The sequence below is a fragment of the Homo sapiens genome, chromosome 3 (genome assembly GCF_000001405.40).
Source record: "Homo sapiens chromosome 3, GRCh38.p14 Primary Assembly".
Lineage (NCBI taxonomy): Eukaryota > Metazoa > Chordata > Mammalia > Primates > Hominidae > Homo > Homo sapiens.
Window position 1 is genome coordinate 170,417,191 of NC_000003.12, and position 18,573 is coordinate 170,435,763.

General features: G+C 44.9%; 1 protein-coding gene and 1 non-coding gene across 3 annotated transcripts, besides 3 other annotated features; both read left to right on the plus strand.

The window, feature by feature from the left end:
• Positions 1,426–2,378: an enhancer, noted in NCBI's record as "H3K4me1 hESC enhancer chr3:170136404-170137356 (GRCh37/hg19 assembly coordinates)". NCBI's record gives its function as "activates a minimal SCP1, AML or CMV promoter by ChIP-STARR-seq in naive and primed H9 embryonic stem cells {active_cell/tissue: H9 hESC(naive and primed)}" and the evidence as "EXISTENCE:reporter gene assay evidence [ECO:0000049][PMID:30033119]".
• Positions 1,678–17,501, plus strand: CLDN11 (claudin 11). Of its 2 annotated transcripts, none has more exons than NM_005602.6 (3): positions 1,678–2,102; positions 5,973–6,137; positions 15,334–17,501. In NM_005602.6, exons 1-3 carry the CDS (start codon positions 1,877–1,879, stop codon positions 15,564–15,566), a joined length of 624 nt encoding a protein of 207 aa, NP_005593.2. In that variant the 5' UTR covers positions 1,678–1,876; the 3' UTR covers positions 15,567–17,501. The 2 variants fall into 2 exon arrangements, with proteins under 2 accessions (NP_005593.2, NP_001171985.1); NM_001185056.2 differs by lacking the exon at positions 1,678–2,102 and adding an exon at positions 4,036–4,147.
• MIR6828 (microRNA 6828) lies at positions 5,913–5,972 on the plus strand. Its single transcript, NR_106886.1, has one exon. It is a non-coding gene; the product is annotated as a microRNA 6828 (primary transcript).
• Positions 8,165–8,666: an enhancer, noted in NCBI's record as "H3K27ac hESC enhancer chr3:170143143-170143644 (GRCh37/hg19 assembly coordinates)". NCBI's record gives its function as "activates a minimal SCP1, AML or CMV promoter by ChIP-STARR-seq in naive H9 embryonic stem cells {active_cell/tissue: H9 hESC(naive)}" and the evidence as "EXISTENCE:reporter gene assay evidence [ECO:0000049][PMID:30033119]".
• Positions 8,667–9,166: an enhancer, noted in NCBI's record as "H3K27ac hESC enhancer chr3:170143645-170144144 (GRCh37/hg19 assembly coordinates)". NCBI's record gives its function as "activates a minimal SCP1, AML or CMV promoter by ChIP-STARR-seq in naive and primed H9 embryonic stem cells {active_cell/tissue: H9 hESC(naive and primed)}" and the evidence as "EXISTENCE:reporter gene assay evidence [ECO:0000049][PMID:30033119]".
• Positions 17,502–18,573: the final 1,072 nt, after the last annotated feature.

Sequence of the window (18,573 nt, forward strand, 5' to 3'; positions counted from 1 at the left end):
AGAGCCATTTCTGTGTGTGCACTTGATTTCCTTGGGGTCTCCAGGGAAATGTAATTGTCTCCTCAAGTCCAGGCTTTCCTAGAAGACATGGTGATTGCACTGATAACCAGCATTAGGGCTGGCTTTGGGAAAGCTCAGTACCTATGATTTATGGTTAGTATCTTAGATTTTAGAACGCTGAGCAGGAAGTTTTTGTGCTTTCTGAAATCCTCACACCTTTAAGTCTCATGATTGGTGAGGAGGCAGTGGTCCAAGGGAATGGATAGAAGGAGATAATAAGATAAGCCAAATGTTTCAAAGGGAGTGAAAACTGTTGAATGTAAATGCAGCTCAAGGAAGACTTCCCTATCTGAATAAAAAGGTGCAAATAATGCGGCCTATTTGTATGCATGGTGGCTTAATGATGTTGATGGTGATGATGATAGCTTTACACTATCAGAGCGCTCATTCTGGGCTAGGCAGTTTTCTCAGTGGGGTACAGATATTAATTTATTTACAGTGAGCCAGAGAAGTCTGCTGTAGCTTTTAATGCGTCTAAAATGGGACACATGAACCCCTTAGGAATTTTCAGACTGATCAGGACAGTTTCCTAGAAACAGTTCGTGAAAGGGATGAGATGGGCCCATGGTATCTACCCCTTCCTAGCTGCGTGAACTTGGGCAACTCAACCTTCTTGTGCTGTTTCTCTATGGCTAGTGCGTGTAATTTGTTGTTGTTGTTGTTGTTTGCTTTTGAGACGTTGTCTCACTCAGTTGCCCAGGCTGGAGTGCAGTGGCACGATCTTGGCGCACTGCAACCTCCTTCAAGTTATTCTCCTGCCTCAGCCTCCCAAGCAGCTGGGGTTACAGGCATGCGCCACCATGCCCGGCTCATTTTTGTATTTTCTGTAGAGATGGAGTTTCACCATGTTGGTCAGGCTGGTCTCGAACTCCTGACCTTAGGTGATCCGCCCACCTTGGCCTCCCAAAGTTCTGGGATTACAGGTGTGAGCCACCACTCCCGGCCTAGTATGTGTCATTGACAATTGTTCCTACCTCAAAGGCTGTTATGAGGATTAAATGAGCTAATGCATGTAAAATGCATCTGCATAATATATAACACAGCTCGATAAATGTGAGTTGCTATTGTTGATTATTATGGCCACGTTTGCCGCTGATGATGTTCAACCACTGAAAAGCATCGTTTTCTTTCTTCTAGTAACTGTGTGTACTGAATGCCTCGCGTTTGTCCCTACTGCACTTTTCAGTCTGTCACAATCCTGGGTCGTCGGGGGACTGTACCGAGCGCCCTTGGAGTGCTCGCAGCAGGGAAGAAGGAGCGAGCAGGGAGGAGCTGAGGAGGGTCGGAGCGGAATGGACACCCAGAGACTGAGATGAGAGAGGGGCTATAAGAAGAGAAACCAGTCGCAGGAAAACAGAACTCTCGACAAACGCACGCCCTCTTTGCGCTCTCCGTTTCTCTGGACCTGGATGGAATTGTTTTACTTTGCATCGCCGGACTGCGCTGCGGACGGGGTGGGGCGGCCCAATGGCCCCCCTGGGGTTACTCTGCTCCCCTTCACGCTTCCCTCCCGGCCCCGCCCCGCGATTGGCCGGCGCGCCCCGGGGCTGCCGCCGATTGGTGCTCGCCGGCCGGAGCCGCGGGGCTTAAAGAGGGGGCGGGGGCGCGCTGCCCAGCAGCGCTGCTGTCCCCGCCGTGCGCCCTTCGCCGCTGAGCTCGCAGCCTCCGGCGCCCACCTCCACCTCCAGTGTCCCGCCTCGGGCCGTCGCCCTCCAGCGGCTCGCGAGCGTGGGAGACGTACCTGGGCAGGCACTGTCCAGCCCAGGCCCAGGCACAGCCGTGAGGGGCGAGGCACGGGGACATCCTGGCGGCCACCATGGTGGCCACGTGCCTGCAGGTGGTGGGCTTCGTCACGAGCTTCGTGGGCTGGATCGGGGTCATCGTGACCACCTCCACCAATGACTGGGTGGTGACCTGCGGCTACACCATCCCCACCTGCCGCAAGCTGGATGAGCTGGGCTCCAAGGGGCTGTGGGCCGACTGCGTCATGGCCACGGGGCTGTACCACTGCAAGCCCCTGGTGGACATCCTCATCCTGCCGGGTAAGGACCCGAGCTTGGCGGCGGCTCCCAAATCCTTATCCTCTGGGTAGAGAGCGGGATATTAGACGGCGTCACAGAGACATTTTGGGGGCTTGAAGACCTTTGGGTACGTTTTTGACATCCCTAGTCCCACCTTGTTGTAAAAGAATTAGGCAGCCCCGAACTTAACTTCTCTAGGCCGCAGTATTCTTATCTGGAATTTGAGATAATAGTGGCAATGTGGCCGGTGGTAACACTGGCCGGGTCCCTTTGAGAATGAACAAACCGGAACACCTAATAGGAACTGAGTCCGTGTTAATTACTGCGGTCCCAGCCCGCATCCTTCCACCGTCCGCTTCCCGAAGTGCTTCCCGCTCCCGCCCGGCCTCCCCCGGGGCGCCGAGCCTTCGCGTTAGGTTCCGCCCGCAGAGGTGAGAAGGAGCGTGTAACACAAGCTGACAGGAGAATCGAACCGGCTCAGGCTGAGTTTCTCGGTCCTCATGGGATGGGCGAAGCGCCCCCGGCCAGGTTAGAGCCCTCCTAGCTCCGTCCGCGCAGCCGCTGAGCAATTCACGTCCAGGGCTCTCTGGGCTGCCTGGTTTGGGAAATGTCACGTTGATTCCCGCACGTGCCCAGGGCCATCTCCGCTGCCCCCGCTACCCCCGCCCCTGCTGTGGGCGCGTCAGACTGCGGGGCTGCGGTGACGCCGGCTCCCGCTCCGCGCCGCTGGGTTGGATAGGGACGAGCGGGCGCTCCTCGGAGGGCGGACTCCACTGGGGAGATACGGAGCGCGCCGCCGAGGGTCGCTCGCCGCCACCCCTCCAGCGTGTCTCAGATTGGGAAGGGGAGGTAAAAATTGACAGCCTAGCGCCGGCCAGGGGCCACATTTTCACATGTGTCCTGTGGAAACATTTTGGGCGACAGCCTCAATTCAGATTTAAACCAATGGGTTGGGCAATGGCGAGGTCGCGGGCACCCCCTTGGTTTTCTGCTGGAATCTCTGCTCTACCCCCAAGGCATGTCCCTACAAGGTGGGCTTCTGTCCCCCAGCCTTCGTGGATTGTGCTCACTTAAAGGATTTTCCCGGTTTCCTCAAGATGGGGAGAAACCTGTCCCTGAAGCCGCCAGTCAGATAAGACTGTGCTCGCCCCTTAAGCCTCCTCCAAGCACGCCCTATTTCCGGTCCTCGCAGTCGGAATCTGAATCCCTCCTTTCTCCTTGCTGCCTAGTACTTGGCTCTTATCCTCACAAAGGCACATTTTATCTTGTTTTTTGTTGATTGTTCGTGAGTGAAGTTCTCCCACTACGTTTTAAATTCCTTGAAGATAGAGATGGCGTCCTGTTATTCTCTTTGCTTCCTCTTCTGGACCTGGCATGGCCTCTGGCACACAATAGCTGCGGGCAGTGCTTGCCTGGTTTGCCTTACGCTATCCTTTCCTTCATTTTGAACTTTCAGAAGGCCAGAGGTCAACGAACGCAGATCTAGACTCAGCTTTGGCTAATGCTGGTGTTGGCAGACCCGGGCCAGCCTCCGGCATCCAGGACTCACAATCTGGGTGAGGGGGGACAAATTGCTAGCCTCAGTGAACCACGGTTGTCTTCTTTTAAAAGTTAAAATCAGATCAACCACCCATCTTTCACGATTATTTGAGGATTAAATGAGATAAGAAATGTAATCTCCTTTGAGATAGTAGATGCTTCATGAATGGTACCTATAGTATTTTATTAAAAGCTGGGCATGGTATTTGTAGGGATCTTTGAAGCATAAAATTAACTTTGTTTTCTTCTCCTGAAATTAACTTTACTGAGCATTCAGTGCCAAGTGGTTTGTTTTCAGAGAACAAAGGCTGTCCTCCAGAGGGGAGTGCATACTCTGGGGGTGGGGGGGGGGTGGGGGGCGGCGCTAGTCCTTCCTGCCTTCCCCCTCCCTCATACTTTGGGTGGAGGCAGGAACAGTCCTCTGTCCCTATCTTTTGGTGTCCGGACATGGCCTTGGCACTGTAGCATGTGGACAGCCAGTGCCATGGATTTCAGAACCTGCATTGCCAGTTGACTGCCTGCTTTGTGTGAGTACTGGCTCTCTACAAGCCGCAGAGGCGGACGGCTGGGTCAGGGGATGGGCCTCAGACTTCCTGGAGCTCCTTTCTGGAGATCTTCAAGTCAGTAGACACTTGACTGATTATCTTTAATTCTGAAGGAGCTGAGATGGGCAGTGCTGGAAGAGGGCCCTTGTGAAGTCCGAATTCTGGCAAAACGTTCCTTGCTAAGAGACAGCGTTGAAGTTAGGCCTTTTTGCACGTGAGGGTCGTGGTGTGTGAGGCAGATGTCGGCTAGATTCCTGGCTTTGCTATGAACTCTGCCTCACCCAGGCCACTAGTACTAGTTCCTTCTGAGCAAAAAAGGGAGGGTAATAAATGTGACCCCCCCCACCTTTTTTAAGAGGAGGGAGAGTTTTAATGAGAAACATTACATTTGAAAGTGAAACAAATTTGTCTGTGAAATTCTCCCAGTATCTTGTCAGATTTATTCTAAATAAATGTGACACATATTGTAATCTGTTTCTTAATACAGTTTTTACTTGGCATTTTACTTGACAGGATAAAGTTCATGTAGTTTTGCTCTACTCTTCTATTTTTCAGTTCTCTTATTCCTTGATTCGCAATTGTTTCCATGATCTGTTGTGGGCACTGTGTTAACTCCGTGAATACCAAGGCAGGTGTCTGCCCTCCAGGAACCCTGAGGGCTGGAGAGATGCCTTTTAAGCAATGATGGACAGTTGGGGAAGGATGCCCAGGGCACTGTGGGTGAGGCAGGAGATGGGGTCCAACAATTTAGGGGCAGGATCCATGAGGACAGCAGCCTCTGGGGAGACAGCAAAGAGAGGAAGCCTGAGTCTTAGTTTAGTCTGGGTTAGGGCCACAGCCAATGTGAATGAAAGCACATGGTTAGGAGAAAATCACCTAGGACACCTGAAGATGAAAGCGCTGCACTGAGACAGACAAAGAACACCAATGATAACAACTAACCTTTTTTGAGGATTTGGTATAGGCACTGTTTTAAGCACTAAATAAATTAACTAATGTAATCTTCAGTAGAATTCTATTACAGAGATGTAGGTACTATTATATTATTATCAATACTTTGTTTGTTTATTTATTTATTTATTTTGAGAAAGAGTCTCGCTCTGTCACCTGGGCTGGAGTGCAGTGGCTCGATCTCAGCTCACTGCAACCTCCCCCTCTCAGGTTCAAGCGATTCTGCTGCCTCAGCCTCCCCAAGTAGCTGGGACTACAGGCTCACACCACCACACCAGGCTAATTTTTGTATTTTTAGTAGAGATGGGGTTTCGCCCTGTTGGCCAGGCTGATCTTGAACTCCTGACCTCAGAAGATCCACCTGCCTTGGCCTCCCAAAGTGCTGGGATTAGAGGTGTGAGCCACCATGCCTGGCCTGTTGTTACTTTATAGATGTGGAAAATAAGACATCATGGTTAAGTAACTTGCCCAAGGTCACACAGGTAGAGCTATCAATAGCAGACTGGAACCAATAGAGGCCCTCACAGAATGATTCTTGGGAGATTTCAGTTTTCATCTGAACTTTCTCAGGGGGATGTAATAATGTAAATGGACTCTTGGCCCCTCCATCCTGGAAGCTTGGCCAAGTGGCCTAAACCAGGGGTCCCCATTTAGTTTCTCCAGCCCCCTTTTTTCTTGCTGAGTTGTTTTAAAAGTTAAAAAGTGCTTAGTGACCTTGGACAACATTAGCACCTTCTAAGTCCTGGAATCCACCAAGAAGGAGGAAGGGAGATGGTGCTGAATTCCCCTAAGGCAGGGCTCAGGAAGCAAGAGAACCCTGTGGTCTAACCTTTCCCATCTGCTCTCTTGTTCCCAGGCTACGTGCAGGCCTGCCGCGCCCTGATGATTGCTGCCTCGGTCCTGGGTCTGCCGGCCATTTTACTGCTGCTGACTGTTCTTCCCTGCATCCGGATGGGCCAGGAGCCCGGTGTGGCTAAGTACAGGCGGGCCCAGCTGGCTGGTGTTTTGCTCATTCTGCTGGGTAAGACAGCTTTCTCAGTGGTACCCTACCTATGAGGGAGCCTGATGAATCTCAGATCTTGTGGTTGCTGCCTTCTCAAGTTCAAGAGAAATGTGAAAGGAAGCCAAGTGAAGCCAGTGGGGGATGGACTCCCACAATCTGTATCCCTTTGTATTTTATGGGCAGTTTACACAGAGGGCTAAGTAATGTCTCTGGGAGTCACTGACCATGAAGATAAGTTTAAAAAGAGAAAGAGGATTTTGAAGGTAGGAAATACCTAAGGGAAAGACCTGAAAGATGGAAGCCTTCTCAGTCTTCACAGTGGAATCCTTTTTGAACACCTATGCCCAGGTCCCACAGCAGATCAATTGAATCAGAATTTTCTGGGCATCAGGCCAGGCAAAGATATTTTTTGAAAGCTTCCCAGGTGATGCTTATGTGCAGGCAAGACTGAGCAGCTCAGTTAATAAAGAAGGAGGCCGAGGTGGGCGGATCACCTGAGGTTGGAAGTTCAAGACCAGCCTGGCCAACATGGTGAAACCCCATCTCTACTAAAAATACAAAAATTAGCCAGGTATGGTGGTGCATGCCTGTAATCCCAGCTACTCGGGGCGGGGGTTGCTAAGGCAGGAGAATGATTTGAACCCAGGAGGCAGAGGTTGCGGTGAGCTGAGATCACGCTACTGCGTTCCATCCTGGGTGACAGAGTGCAACTCCAAAAAAAAAAAAAAAGAAAAAGAAAAAGAAAAAAGAAAGAAAGAAAAAAGTAAAGAAGAGGGCAAGAGAAAAGTCAGGAGTTGAGGGTGGTTAGACCACCAGGTGATGGCTCCGTCCTTTAACTCAGTAAGCCTTCCTTGAGCATGTGGGCCAGACACCATGGTAGGTACTGGGGACACTGGGGAAAATAGGCCGTCTTTGCTTTGAGTGTACTTGGAAACCTCAATAGAATATGGTATGTGCTCATGTAGAAAAGGTATATAGTCTGTGCATACACATAGGAAGGCACCTAACCCAGACTGGATGAGTTTCCAGAGTGGAAGAACCCAGCAGTAAGCTCTGAGACTTGAAGAGGAGGTGGGCTGGTCATGAATTGAGGGGAGGGACAGTCCAGGGACAGGAAATGGCATGTGCTCATTTGGTTTTGCTGATTATACCTGCACATAAAGGGCTTCATTTAACAACCTATGGAGGGTCCTTCTAGCTCTCTTCTCGTCAGTGATTTAATTTCTCTCCGTTTTTTTCCCTCAGATGCTAGTTTCATTAGCACATTCTAAATCCTAATAGACAATATGAATTTTAAGAACAACTCTTGTTGCAAAGTGCGCATATCAGTGACAACAAATTAGTCTGGTAATGGGTTAGATATAAAATCACCTTCTTCTGAAACAAGGAATTCATACCCCCAGATTGGCATATCAGATGATGAATTTGAGGGGTAAGGATAAGGGGTCAGGGTTCTGTGTGGGTTGATGCCACTTGGTGGGTACCTCCCATCTGGAGGCCTCACACTCATAATGACACCAGTAAGGTGAGGGGACATGAGAGGTGGGGCACCATTTTCCAGGATTGCAAAGGGACGGAGGTTTGCAGGTTCTTGTGAAGCCACAAGGGTGTGTGTGTGTGTGTGTGTGTGTGCGCGCGTGTGTGTGTGTTAACAGGAGTGAAAAGGCCACTAATTTCCAGAGAAAAATCTGAATGTGGAAATTTTGGTTCCAGCCACAAAGAATTTGTGTGCCAGCGTCACACGGAACACATATCAGCATCCGGTGCTTTATCTGACTCACAGGGGCTCCCTCTTGCAGTGCTCTATGGAGGTCAGGTCTATTGTCTGACTCCCTTTCCAACAGGAAAGTGAAAGCTCCACAAGTAAACTTGGTTTGCAGAATCCAGGTGAAACCCTTCTCCTAGACACTTGCTGTTTGTTACTTTCCTCACATTCTCACAGAAGCCCCGGAAGGTTCTCTTGGGCTCTGAGGATGGCAGAGCCAAAAGGTGGGTCTGTTGTGTTGAGTGCTCATGTTTAGAAATTCTGGCCTTCCATATGAATGTCACAGGTATCCACAAGTGAGAGAACACACTAAAACAAACATACAAACCCTGGAAAATAGAGGGATAAAAGCAAAGTATACGTAGTTTAAACAACCCTAAAAACAACAGAATTGTTTAGTTGAATAATCAGGGATATTGAAGGAAAAAGCAACCGGTGGTTTGAAACTTCCTAGCTGAATTTGTTTTTCTTTATCTTCTAAAAGTGTGTTGATATAGATAGGCAGCATCACAGAGGAAGAAAGCAAGGTGGGGCTGGGGAGTGGGTGAGTGCCTCAGTCCCTGTTTGCCTGTCTGGAGTGAAACTATGGGGGAAGCAGGACATGGAGGGACCTGACCCCACCCAAGGAGGCTGCCCATTTCCGGACACTCACCAGAGTCCCCTCATTGCCCTTTTACGGCCTTGCATTTCCGATATTGTCTGCCTGCTTTGCTCCTATCCGGATTTGTTTCTCAGTGGATCACCACTGCCTTTGGGCTGGATGTTGTTTTGACCGGAACGAGCTAGCTCTGGAAATGTAAAGCTCATTGTCTCAAGCATGGCACCTGCTGATCTCCTCTAGGTCTTCTCACCACGGAGCCCCAAGTGCCTTGTTTCCCCTGTTGGCAGTGGTGGGAGGAGCATGGGGACTGAAGGCTCCCTTTGTGTTGCTCTGGACTGTTTCTGTCACTCCCCCAGAGAAGCCAGCGCTAGGCCTGTGCAAGGTCCTCAGGGTCACTGAATGGGGCTGAACAAACACACCTCATTCGACCAAAGAAGATGAGGCACCTCCTGGGTTTCGGGGGCCTGGGAACTGGACACAGTGTCACAGCTAGTCCTGGTATGGGAACTGTGAACACTGCTAATTGAAATCAGTTTTTCCTGACCCTGAAAATCTGTAATTATTTTTGTGAAAGCTTAAAAAAATTATGTCTGTTGTACAACTTTATCTTCTCAGCAGTTACGTTTGATGGTGTGAGGATTTGGTTCCTGCTGTGGAGGAAGAAATAGGAGCCAGTTGCTTCTAAAGCCAGATGAGTAGTACAGGAGCAGCAGGCTCTCAGATCTGTGGTGGATTTGAGGCTAATCTGTTTGTGGCTTTTCAAGAGTCCCTGCCAAGGCAGGAGGTGCCTGTGCCCTGAATTGTGTGATCTTATCAGCTGGAGTCAGATCCAACTGTGCTGAATCTGGAACCTACTACTTTCTAGCTGTGTGAACTGGGGCAGTTCCTTAATGTCTCTGGTCCCTTCCATAAAATGGGAACAATAACGCCTGCTTCTCAGGTTAGTAAAAACAGTGAAATGATGTGTGAAAATTATTTAGCATAGGATCTGGCACATGGTAAGTGCTCAATAAATGGTTGCTATTATTATTGTTATTGTTGGTTAGCTGGTTAAAAGAATACCCAGAGAGCAGCTGGGTATTCTTCCAATCATGTCAATTTCCTTCTTTTTATTTTTATTTTTTGAGACGGACCTTTGCTCTGTCGCCCAGGCTAGAGTGCAGTGGCGCAATCTTGGCTCACTGCAACCTCTGCCACCTGGGTTCAAGCGATTCTCCTGCCTCAGGCTCCCGACTAGCTGGGATTACTGGCATGTGCCACCATGCCCGGCTAATTTTTGTATTTTTTGTAGAGATGGGGTTTCACCATATTGGGCAGGCTGGTCTCGAACTCCTGAGCCGTGAGCCACCGTGCCTGGCCAAGAAGGTCTTTAAGAACGTTTTTATTTTGGAAAATATCAGACCTATATAAAAGTAGAGGAATAGTATAATAAACCCCTGTGAACCCAACCTCCTCAACAGTGATCAACTCATGGCTGTAATATATGCTTCATCTTTCCACTTCTCCATTTCTTCCAGTCTTCAGATTTTTAAAAGGAAATCTTAGATAGCATATCAAGAAAGATTTTTTTCGCTATTACTAATGTAAGAAGTCAGAATAATTTAAATGATTTTAATGAAAATTTTGCTTTGTGCTAGAAATGATGCTTTTAAAAGTTCTTTCAGGGCTGGACGTGGTGGCTCACACCTGTAATCACAGCACTTTGGGAGGCTGAGGTGGGTGGATCACCTGAGGTTGGGAGTTCGAAACCAGCCTGACCAACATGGAGAAACCCTGTCTCTACTTAAAATATAAAATTAGCAGGGCATGGTGGCACACGCCTGTAATCCCTGCTACTTGGGAGGCTGAGGCAGGAGAATCACTTGAACCCAGGAGGCAGAGGTTGTGGTGAGCCGAGATCGCACCATTGCACTCCAGCCTGGGCAACGAGAGCAAAAATCCATCTCAAAAAAACAAAAAACAAAAAAACCAACCAAAACTACAAAAATTAGCCAGGTGTGGCAGGTGCCTGTAATCCCAGCTACGCAGGAGGCTGAGGCACGAGGATTGCTTGAACCCATGTGGCAGAGTTTGCAGTGAGCTGAGATCATGCCACTGCACTCCAGCCTGGGCGACAGAGTGAGACTGTCTCAAAAAAAAAAAAAAAAAAGAAAAAGTCCTTTCAGTGGGAAGTGACAAAGCTTGAAAAAAGGTTCACTGGGGCCAGGCATGGTGGTTCACGCCTGTAATCTAGCACTTTGGAAGGCAGACGCGGGCAGATTGCTTGAGCCCAGGAGTTCGAAACCAGCCTGGCCAACATGGCAAAACCCCATCCCTACTAAAAATACAAAAGTTAGGCCAGCCTGGTGGTGTGCACCTGTGATTCCAGCTACTTGGGAGGCTGAGGATTGATGCTCGGGAGAATGAGTCTGCAGTGAGTCGAGATTGCACCACTGCCCTCCAGCCTGGGTGACAGATATCCTATCAAAAAAAAAAAAAAAAAGATTTATTGGAAGGAGGAAGAAATGTCAGTGTCTACTGATCTTGTCTTTCTCTGCCTCTTTGTCTGTCTGTCTGTCTCTCTTTCTCTCAGTTGTTACCTCCAACGTCAAACATACCTGTATTGATTTTATTTAACTTCATGTTTATTTAACTCCATGTGTTACCATGTGTCATCTCATCTTTAAAGAGATTAAAAGCCACACTTACATTTCATTGCTTTAAAATGGACTTCTCAAATATTTTCTGTTTGGTCACATCACCATCATTCTTAGTTTTTAACAAGGCATATCTTATCAATTAAAGAATGTATTGTGTTGCATTATTTGAAACTTGTTCTCAAAAGGGGCAAACAATTTTATTCTTTGAAGAGCAAGGAATTCTGCTTATGAGAGGACCAGGTTTAGATATATCTGTCTTTACATAGTGAAGCTTTCTTTTCCCTTCCCTTTCTCTCCCTTCTCTTCCCCCTTCTCCTCCTTCTCATTTTTAGCTAAGAATATACCTCAGTTTTACTTTCTGTTTTCCAACAACAAATGGTACCCCCCACCACCTTGTGTAGTTAGCTGTTGCATCTTCTGAAGGTAAAAAAGGAGAAAAACTGAAAAATCTGAGTGCTAAAATTACTCTGTCTTGTTTTTAGAGACTTAATTTAAAAATAAACTCTGATGATATAAAAAGAAAAAGAACAAAAATTCCCTTTGTCTGTCTTCAATTTTCTTGACCTTACAGGTAACTGACTTTCTAGAAAAACACTTTCTTTATTTTTCCCAAATAACAGAGAGAACCATTCCAAACTCATCTTTTTGGGTTTGCGAATAAAATTAAAACTATCAGGCCTTCTGTGTCTTTAAGAAAGGCAATTATTTTTGGCCAGTTATATTACTATTTCACATTTTTAAAAGTTAAGTAATGATTTGTCTTGAATTTTTAACTTTACTGGTCAAAACATATCTCTTTCTCTCTTGAAACCATTGCTGAAATTGAGTAAATTCTCCTTTTTTAGTTTTTAAACATTTCTCATTTTGGGTTCAATTGAAGGTCACTGTTTTCAGTGAGCCTCTCATTTCCTTTCATGTTGTGTGGCAGTCTGTCATTTTTTAGTGGTTTTGATGTGGTTCATCTTTGAGAGCCACAGGAATTCCACCCAGGGTTCATTTGTCTCCTAGGAAGTAAAGAGCCTGCTGGCACTCATTTGCCTTGTTTTGTGTGAATTGTAAGAGAAGGAAATCTTTAATGAGGTCAGTGATGAGCTTGCGACTTTAAGTGTGTTAAAGTCACAATAAGATTTTATGACTTTGGGTGTCAGTTTTGGTATGTATGAAGTAAAATGTAGAATTGAAATGAGACTACTTCTCATCTATCCATCCATTCGTTCCCCCGTTCACTCATCCATTCCTATGGAGGTTCATTGTATGAAATATTTAGACCTTTTTCTGATTTTTCCCTTTTTCTAATGATTTATATTGGAATAAAACCTAACAAAATCCCTAAAATACTCAAAACCAAGACTGATGGTTACTTTTGGGATATTGAGTCTGTTATTTCCCTGTGTGAAGATAATCTTGTTTTATGATTTGCTTAAGGGAACAATGAAATGAATTTAGAGGCAGTTTCTTGTCTTATTCTATAAAATCTCAGTGTGAAAGTTAGGTTAACAATAGATGTGGGGAATGCTTTCCTGCATGTGTGTGCACATGTGCTGTATGTGTAAATACAAAGTATAGTTGAAAAATATAAAACTTGATTTGAACCCTGAGTTGTTTTGAAACCAGTTAATTGTTTATAGGAAAGATCGGTTAGATTGAACCATATCAGTTGTTTGGGAATTAGAACTTTTTTCTCTACAGAATTCAGCTTTTCACTCCCCTTCTTTTTCCTCTAAACAAGCCTGGGTGTTTGGAAGCCTTTGCTAGGTTGCTGTTTTTTGCCCACAGCAGAACGAATGCCCACTTTTGAGGTTTAGGGCTGTGTAAGTAGATTGTGTATTGCTACGGAAAATCTACAGTAGTTCTCTCTGGCTGAAACACTCCAGAAGAGGATTTTAGTCCCTTTTGCTGACAGAGAAAAAGGTTTTTCTCTGTGTCTTGCTGAAAGTAGAGACTCTGATAATAGCCAAGCAATTCTCCAAGAGTGCCTGATTTGGAGTTCACGCCAGAGAAGAGAAAGAAAAAGACTTTCCCCTGCATCTGAGGTTTCCAAAGTCCTGAGCTAGAAAGGGAGGTTTCACGTACACACTGCTTTTCTTGAACATTCTAGTCACAGAAGGAAAATACATCTTCTCATGGTATCTCATATGAAAATATTACAGAAGCTGGCATGACTGTGCTTACTTTTTAAGAAAAAGGAAGCATTAGCATATGGATAGATTTTAGCTTCTTCTTTTTCTCTTTTTTTTTTTTTGACACAGAATCTTGCTTTGTTGCCCAGGCTGGAGTGCAGTGGCAAGATCTCCGCTCACTGCATGCAACCTCTGCCTTCTGGGTTCAAGCAATTCTCCCTGCCTCAGCCTCCTGAGTAGCTGGGATTACAGTCACCCACCATCCATGCCTGGCTAATTTTTGTATTTTTTTGTAGAGATGGGGTTTTGCCATGTTGGCCAGGCTGATCTTGAACTCCTGACCTCAGGTGATTCGCCCACCTTGGCCTCCCAAAGTGCTGGGATTAAAGGTGTGAGCCACCATGCCTGGCCAATTTTAGCTTCTTAGATAATCTATAAATAATTAATGGAGTGAATTTGGGCTGTTAGAAAGCCAATCTGGGCAATTCATAGCTTTTCAAATTAACTCTCTTCCTTCTGATTTCCTCTTGAGATCTATTCTTTTTAAGGATAGAAATCATATCTTCCTACATATATCTATACCCAGCTTGTGGGGGTGGGCTTAATCTATTGTCAATAAAAATCTATGTTACAAGCAACACAAATGCGATGAGATTGTTTAAAAGGTCTTTCAAAATGGGTAAGACCAATCTTTTTTCCATTTAGAACTAATATACAAGGCTGTTAGATTTGATTGCTTATGTTAAGTTATATTTCTTCTCTGTGGGCATAGAGAGTAAGTTAGAAAATCACTTACTATGAGTAGAAATCAGAAAAAAGCTTGCTGAGTTGAAAGTGATAACGGTACCCCTGGTGGCAAACATCAGACTGGCAGTGCAGTATCTGTCTTGAATTTGTTGATGGAAACCTCATTGTTATTATTATTGTTATTATTATTTTTCTGTCTGCCAACTTTAATGTGCCATCTCAACTTAAAGAGGTTTGGAGTTACTTTGTTTAGAGCTGTGTTGTTCGGTACAGTAGCCACTAGCTACATGTGGCCATTTAAATTAAAATTAATGAAAATTCAAAATTCAGTTCTTCATCTCACTAGCCTCATGGCAAATGATCAATGGTCCCACATAACTTGTGGCCACTCCATTTGACAGTGCTGGTCTAGAGATTTGAAAAAAGTAAAAAAAAGTCTTTATAGCCTCTTGCCTGCCCATGTTTTGTTACTTTGCTTATAAAGAGGTGAAAAACTACATGATATATAAGCTATTTCTTATTTTACTCTATAAAATCAAAACCAAAATGAAGATTAGATTGATTGGTGCAAGACCATAAGTAAAGTTCTACCATTTTGACCCTTGAATGGGTGAGTTTTTCTACTCCAAGGACTGTTCATTTGTGTGTTGGGATTTTGTGATTGTGAACAGTGTAATAAAAACTTGAACCTTTATCTGGTACTCCGTTTTCATCTAGCAACATTCACCACAGCAAGAGAAATTTCATACCTTCTCCAGATCTTTGTAATGTGAATTGACCAAACTGAGAAAATAGAGTGGAAAATTGAGGTGGCTGCCATCTTGTTTCTCATATTTGAATAGCTCAGATCATTCAGCCATTCAACTGGTCTACATTGAGCACATACTATTTGCCTTGTACCAAGGTAGACATAGGTAAGACATGGACCCTACCTTCAAAGAACTCAGAGCTTAGAATGATGCATAGACATGTAAAGGGGTAATTATAATACAATTAAGTAAGAATACTAATTTTAGAATTATAACTGTAGATATGAAGTGTTGATATACAAGTAAATACAAATAAATATTTTTTGGACTTAAATGGTTTATTTCTAGGTTTTTACACTGGAATTGTTTTGTCTCTGTTACCTGCTGAAAAAAATAAGGACCCAGCAGTCTACTTCTTCTACAGATGCCAACTGCTACATATTGGTTCAGTGTTGAGGGAGCAGAACTGTGTGTATGGAGCTTTTTGGAGCTGGTTGGAAGCCACAAGTGTGTGTATGTGGAGTGAGTGGGCCTGCCCAAGTGCTTGGTGTGTGATGGTTGCGCCCAGTCACCGCCTCTCCATGTCTCTCCAGCTCTCTGCGCCCTTGTTGCCACCATCTGGTTCCCTGTGTGCGCCCACCGTGAGACCACCATCGTGAGCTTTGGCTACTCCCTGTATGCAGGCTGGATTGGTGCTGTGCTGTGCCTCGTGGGTGGCTGTGTCATCCTCTGCTGCGCTGGAGATGCCCAGGCCTTTGGTGAAAACCGTTTCTACTACACTGCGGGCTCTAGCTCCCCGACTCATGCGAAGAGTGCCCACGTATAAGAGGGCTGCCCGGCTGCCCACAGAGGTGCTGTAGATGCTGGGCCCAGGGCCCTAGGTTTGCTCGTCACAGTGTGGGGAAGCCCATTCCTCTGCCAGGCTCTAAAGCCAAAGGTCTAGAAAAGCATCCTGTCTGGCATTTTGTAGTCTTAACTTCTCCCCATTTCCCCCATCTTTTGGTTGCCTTAAAAGAAATCTCTAGCTCAGATAATGCCCAGACATTTTTTTCCCTTGGTGTTGCCCCTATTAGCTCTTTTCTTGGGCATTCTTTTGCTGTTTATTAAAAATATATTATATATATTTTGTTTCTTTAAATTTCAAATGTTTTGCAAACATCACTGAGTTAGGTGGGGGTGGGGAAGAGAAATACAAGATACTTTTTTTTTTTTTTTTTTTTTTTTTTTTTTAAATAGGGCCTCACTCTGTTGCTCAGGCTGGAGTGCGGTGGTGTGATCTCGGCTCATGTAGCCTCAACCTCCCCGGCTCAAGTGATCCTCCTGCCTCAGCCTCCCAAGTAGCTGGGACTACAGGCGTTCACTACTACACCCAGCTAATTTTTAAGTTTTTTATAGAGATGAGGGCTCCCTATGTTGCCCAGGTTGGTCTCGAACTCCTGGACTCAAAGTATCCTCCCGCCTCGGCCTCCCAAAGTGTTGGGATTATAGGAGTGAGCCACCACACCGGCCAAGATGCTTTTCAAACTGATACAGATGACAATGGGAGCCTCATAAAGATGGCTTTTGTTTCTTCCCTTCAAGGTCATTTACTTGTACGAGACAGAAAAAGATAGCATTGGGGACATGGGATGGGGGAGGGAGGGCAATAGTGGAACGAACTTTCCATGGGAAACTTTCCCTTTTGTAAGTTGAGGGCCAGGGGTAGGGATATTTTTTAGTTTGTGATTTTACATTTATCTGTACATACTTTTTCAAGATTGATCATTTTTATAACCATGGTTTTCCTGAAATCCTCAATTCATCAATATGAAGGAAATGAACCACATAGACTTTATGCAATAAATAACAGTGCAAGTGAGTATAACTCTAACTGATGTTCCACAAAACATTTTTGATTTCAGGTTTGTATGATGTAGTTTTTAATCGTACATTTTCATATGCTTCAAACTAACACATTTTTAAAGCTTTCCCCCACTTTTCTCTCTATTTGTATTGTTAGCCATCTTGAAGTGATGTTGTTTAACATAAATTGTACTGTTGAATTTGGCTTTACGGGTGTAAACACTGATGGTATATCAGTATCTGAGACCCCAAACTCTCCAAATACTGATGGTGCATTTTATTCTTGAAGTGAAATCTGTGCAATAAAATAACAGACTGTCTGCAAAACTGGCCTTCAATCTTCTGTTGTATCCAGAGGTATCATTATTGATTTAAAAAAATCTCATTAATCTCTACTGGTAATTTATAGGGAATCTGATCAGTGATTCAAGAACAAGTAATTCTGCATTGCCTTGAATAATTAAAAAGTTATATTTTATTCACGGTATTGCAGTGGTAATTTGTGGTCATGAAAGCATAACCTCAGTGCTCTCTAGGTTTCTTAAGTGGGGTGACTTTATGGCATCTTTAATCATCGATCAATGGGCAGCAATCAGAAACAAAGTTCTCAGCATTATGCAGTTAATGTCCTTCATCTACTTCTAACACTTAGTAAAGGAATTGATTGGCTAGGTATAAAAAGAGAATTAACGAAACCTATTTTATTGGATCTTTAAGTAATAATATCTAAATACATTTCGTTCAAACATACATATGTAGCTGTTTGGACATTTTGGACAAAGACACATTGAGTTGATTTTTATTTGTTTTTCTGTTCCAGAAACTTCATCAAGTTACGGGCCTGGTCTAAGAAAACACATTGCAATCTATTTTGGCAGACTTCTTTCAAATAAAATACTAATTTCATTAGCTGATAGTATAGTAATTGGCAAACATTTCCTCTTTGGAAATACCAATTTGGGCTAGCCATTTTGCAGAAATTTGTGTAGTTTTGATTATAACCTGTTGGAGAGCATTTCTAAATTACTTATACATAAAAGATAATCTTTTTTTTGTTTGTTTTTTTGAGAAGAAGTCTCGGTCTGTTGCCCAGGCTGGAGAGCAGTGGTGCGATCTCGGCTCTCTGCAACCTCCGCCCCTTGGGTTCAAGCGATTCTTGTGCCTCAGCCTCCCAAGTAGCTGGGACTACAGGTATGTGCCACCACACCTGGCTAATTTTTGTATTTTTAGTGGAGACAGGGTTTTGCCATGTTGGCCGGGGTGGTCTGGAACTCCTGGCTTCAAGTGATCCTCCTGCATCAGCCTTCCGAAGTGTTGGAATTATAGGCGTGAGCCACCGTGCCTGGCCATAGAAGACAATTTTTATGTTAACTAAAATATTTGCTTAGCTATTATAATATAGCTTTTGTAAGGATAAAAGTCATGTGACTACATTGGAGGACTCTCCCTACCTCATTAAAAGTTGTCAAGGTATAACGATTATGAACCAGAAGGGAGCAAAAAGCGTTTGAGGGAGTGGACGAGGAGGCTTCAGACCCCATGATCCCTTTCCTCACAACCACCAGCTTGTGTCAGAAGTGTCATTAAGTGGGTCTCCTCTCTTATGGATGTATTGACTCGCCCGCTCCTTCCCTGAGCTGCTGCTTGTTTTCTCTCATAAGGGGGCTGCTGCATGAGCTCCACTTTTCCCTTCCGTGTAAGAAGAGAGACTCCCAAATCGCTCCTAGCTGACCATTCCCTGACTAATGAGGGAATCCCAATTTGGAGGTCATAACTCTAGTGTTAGGTTTAGTATCAGTTTGATGGAGGAGAGGTTGATGTGCCTCTAGAACAGTACTGTCCACTAGGAATACGATGTGAGCTGTTTAAAATTTTCCAGTAGCCACATTTCAAAAGCTAAAAATAAACAAGTGAAATTAATTTATTTTATTTGATCCAGTACATCCAAAATATTATCATTTCAATATGTAATCAATTGATGAGATATTTCA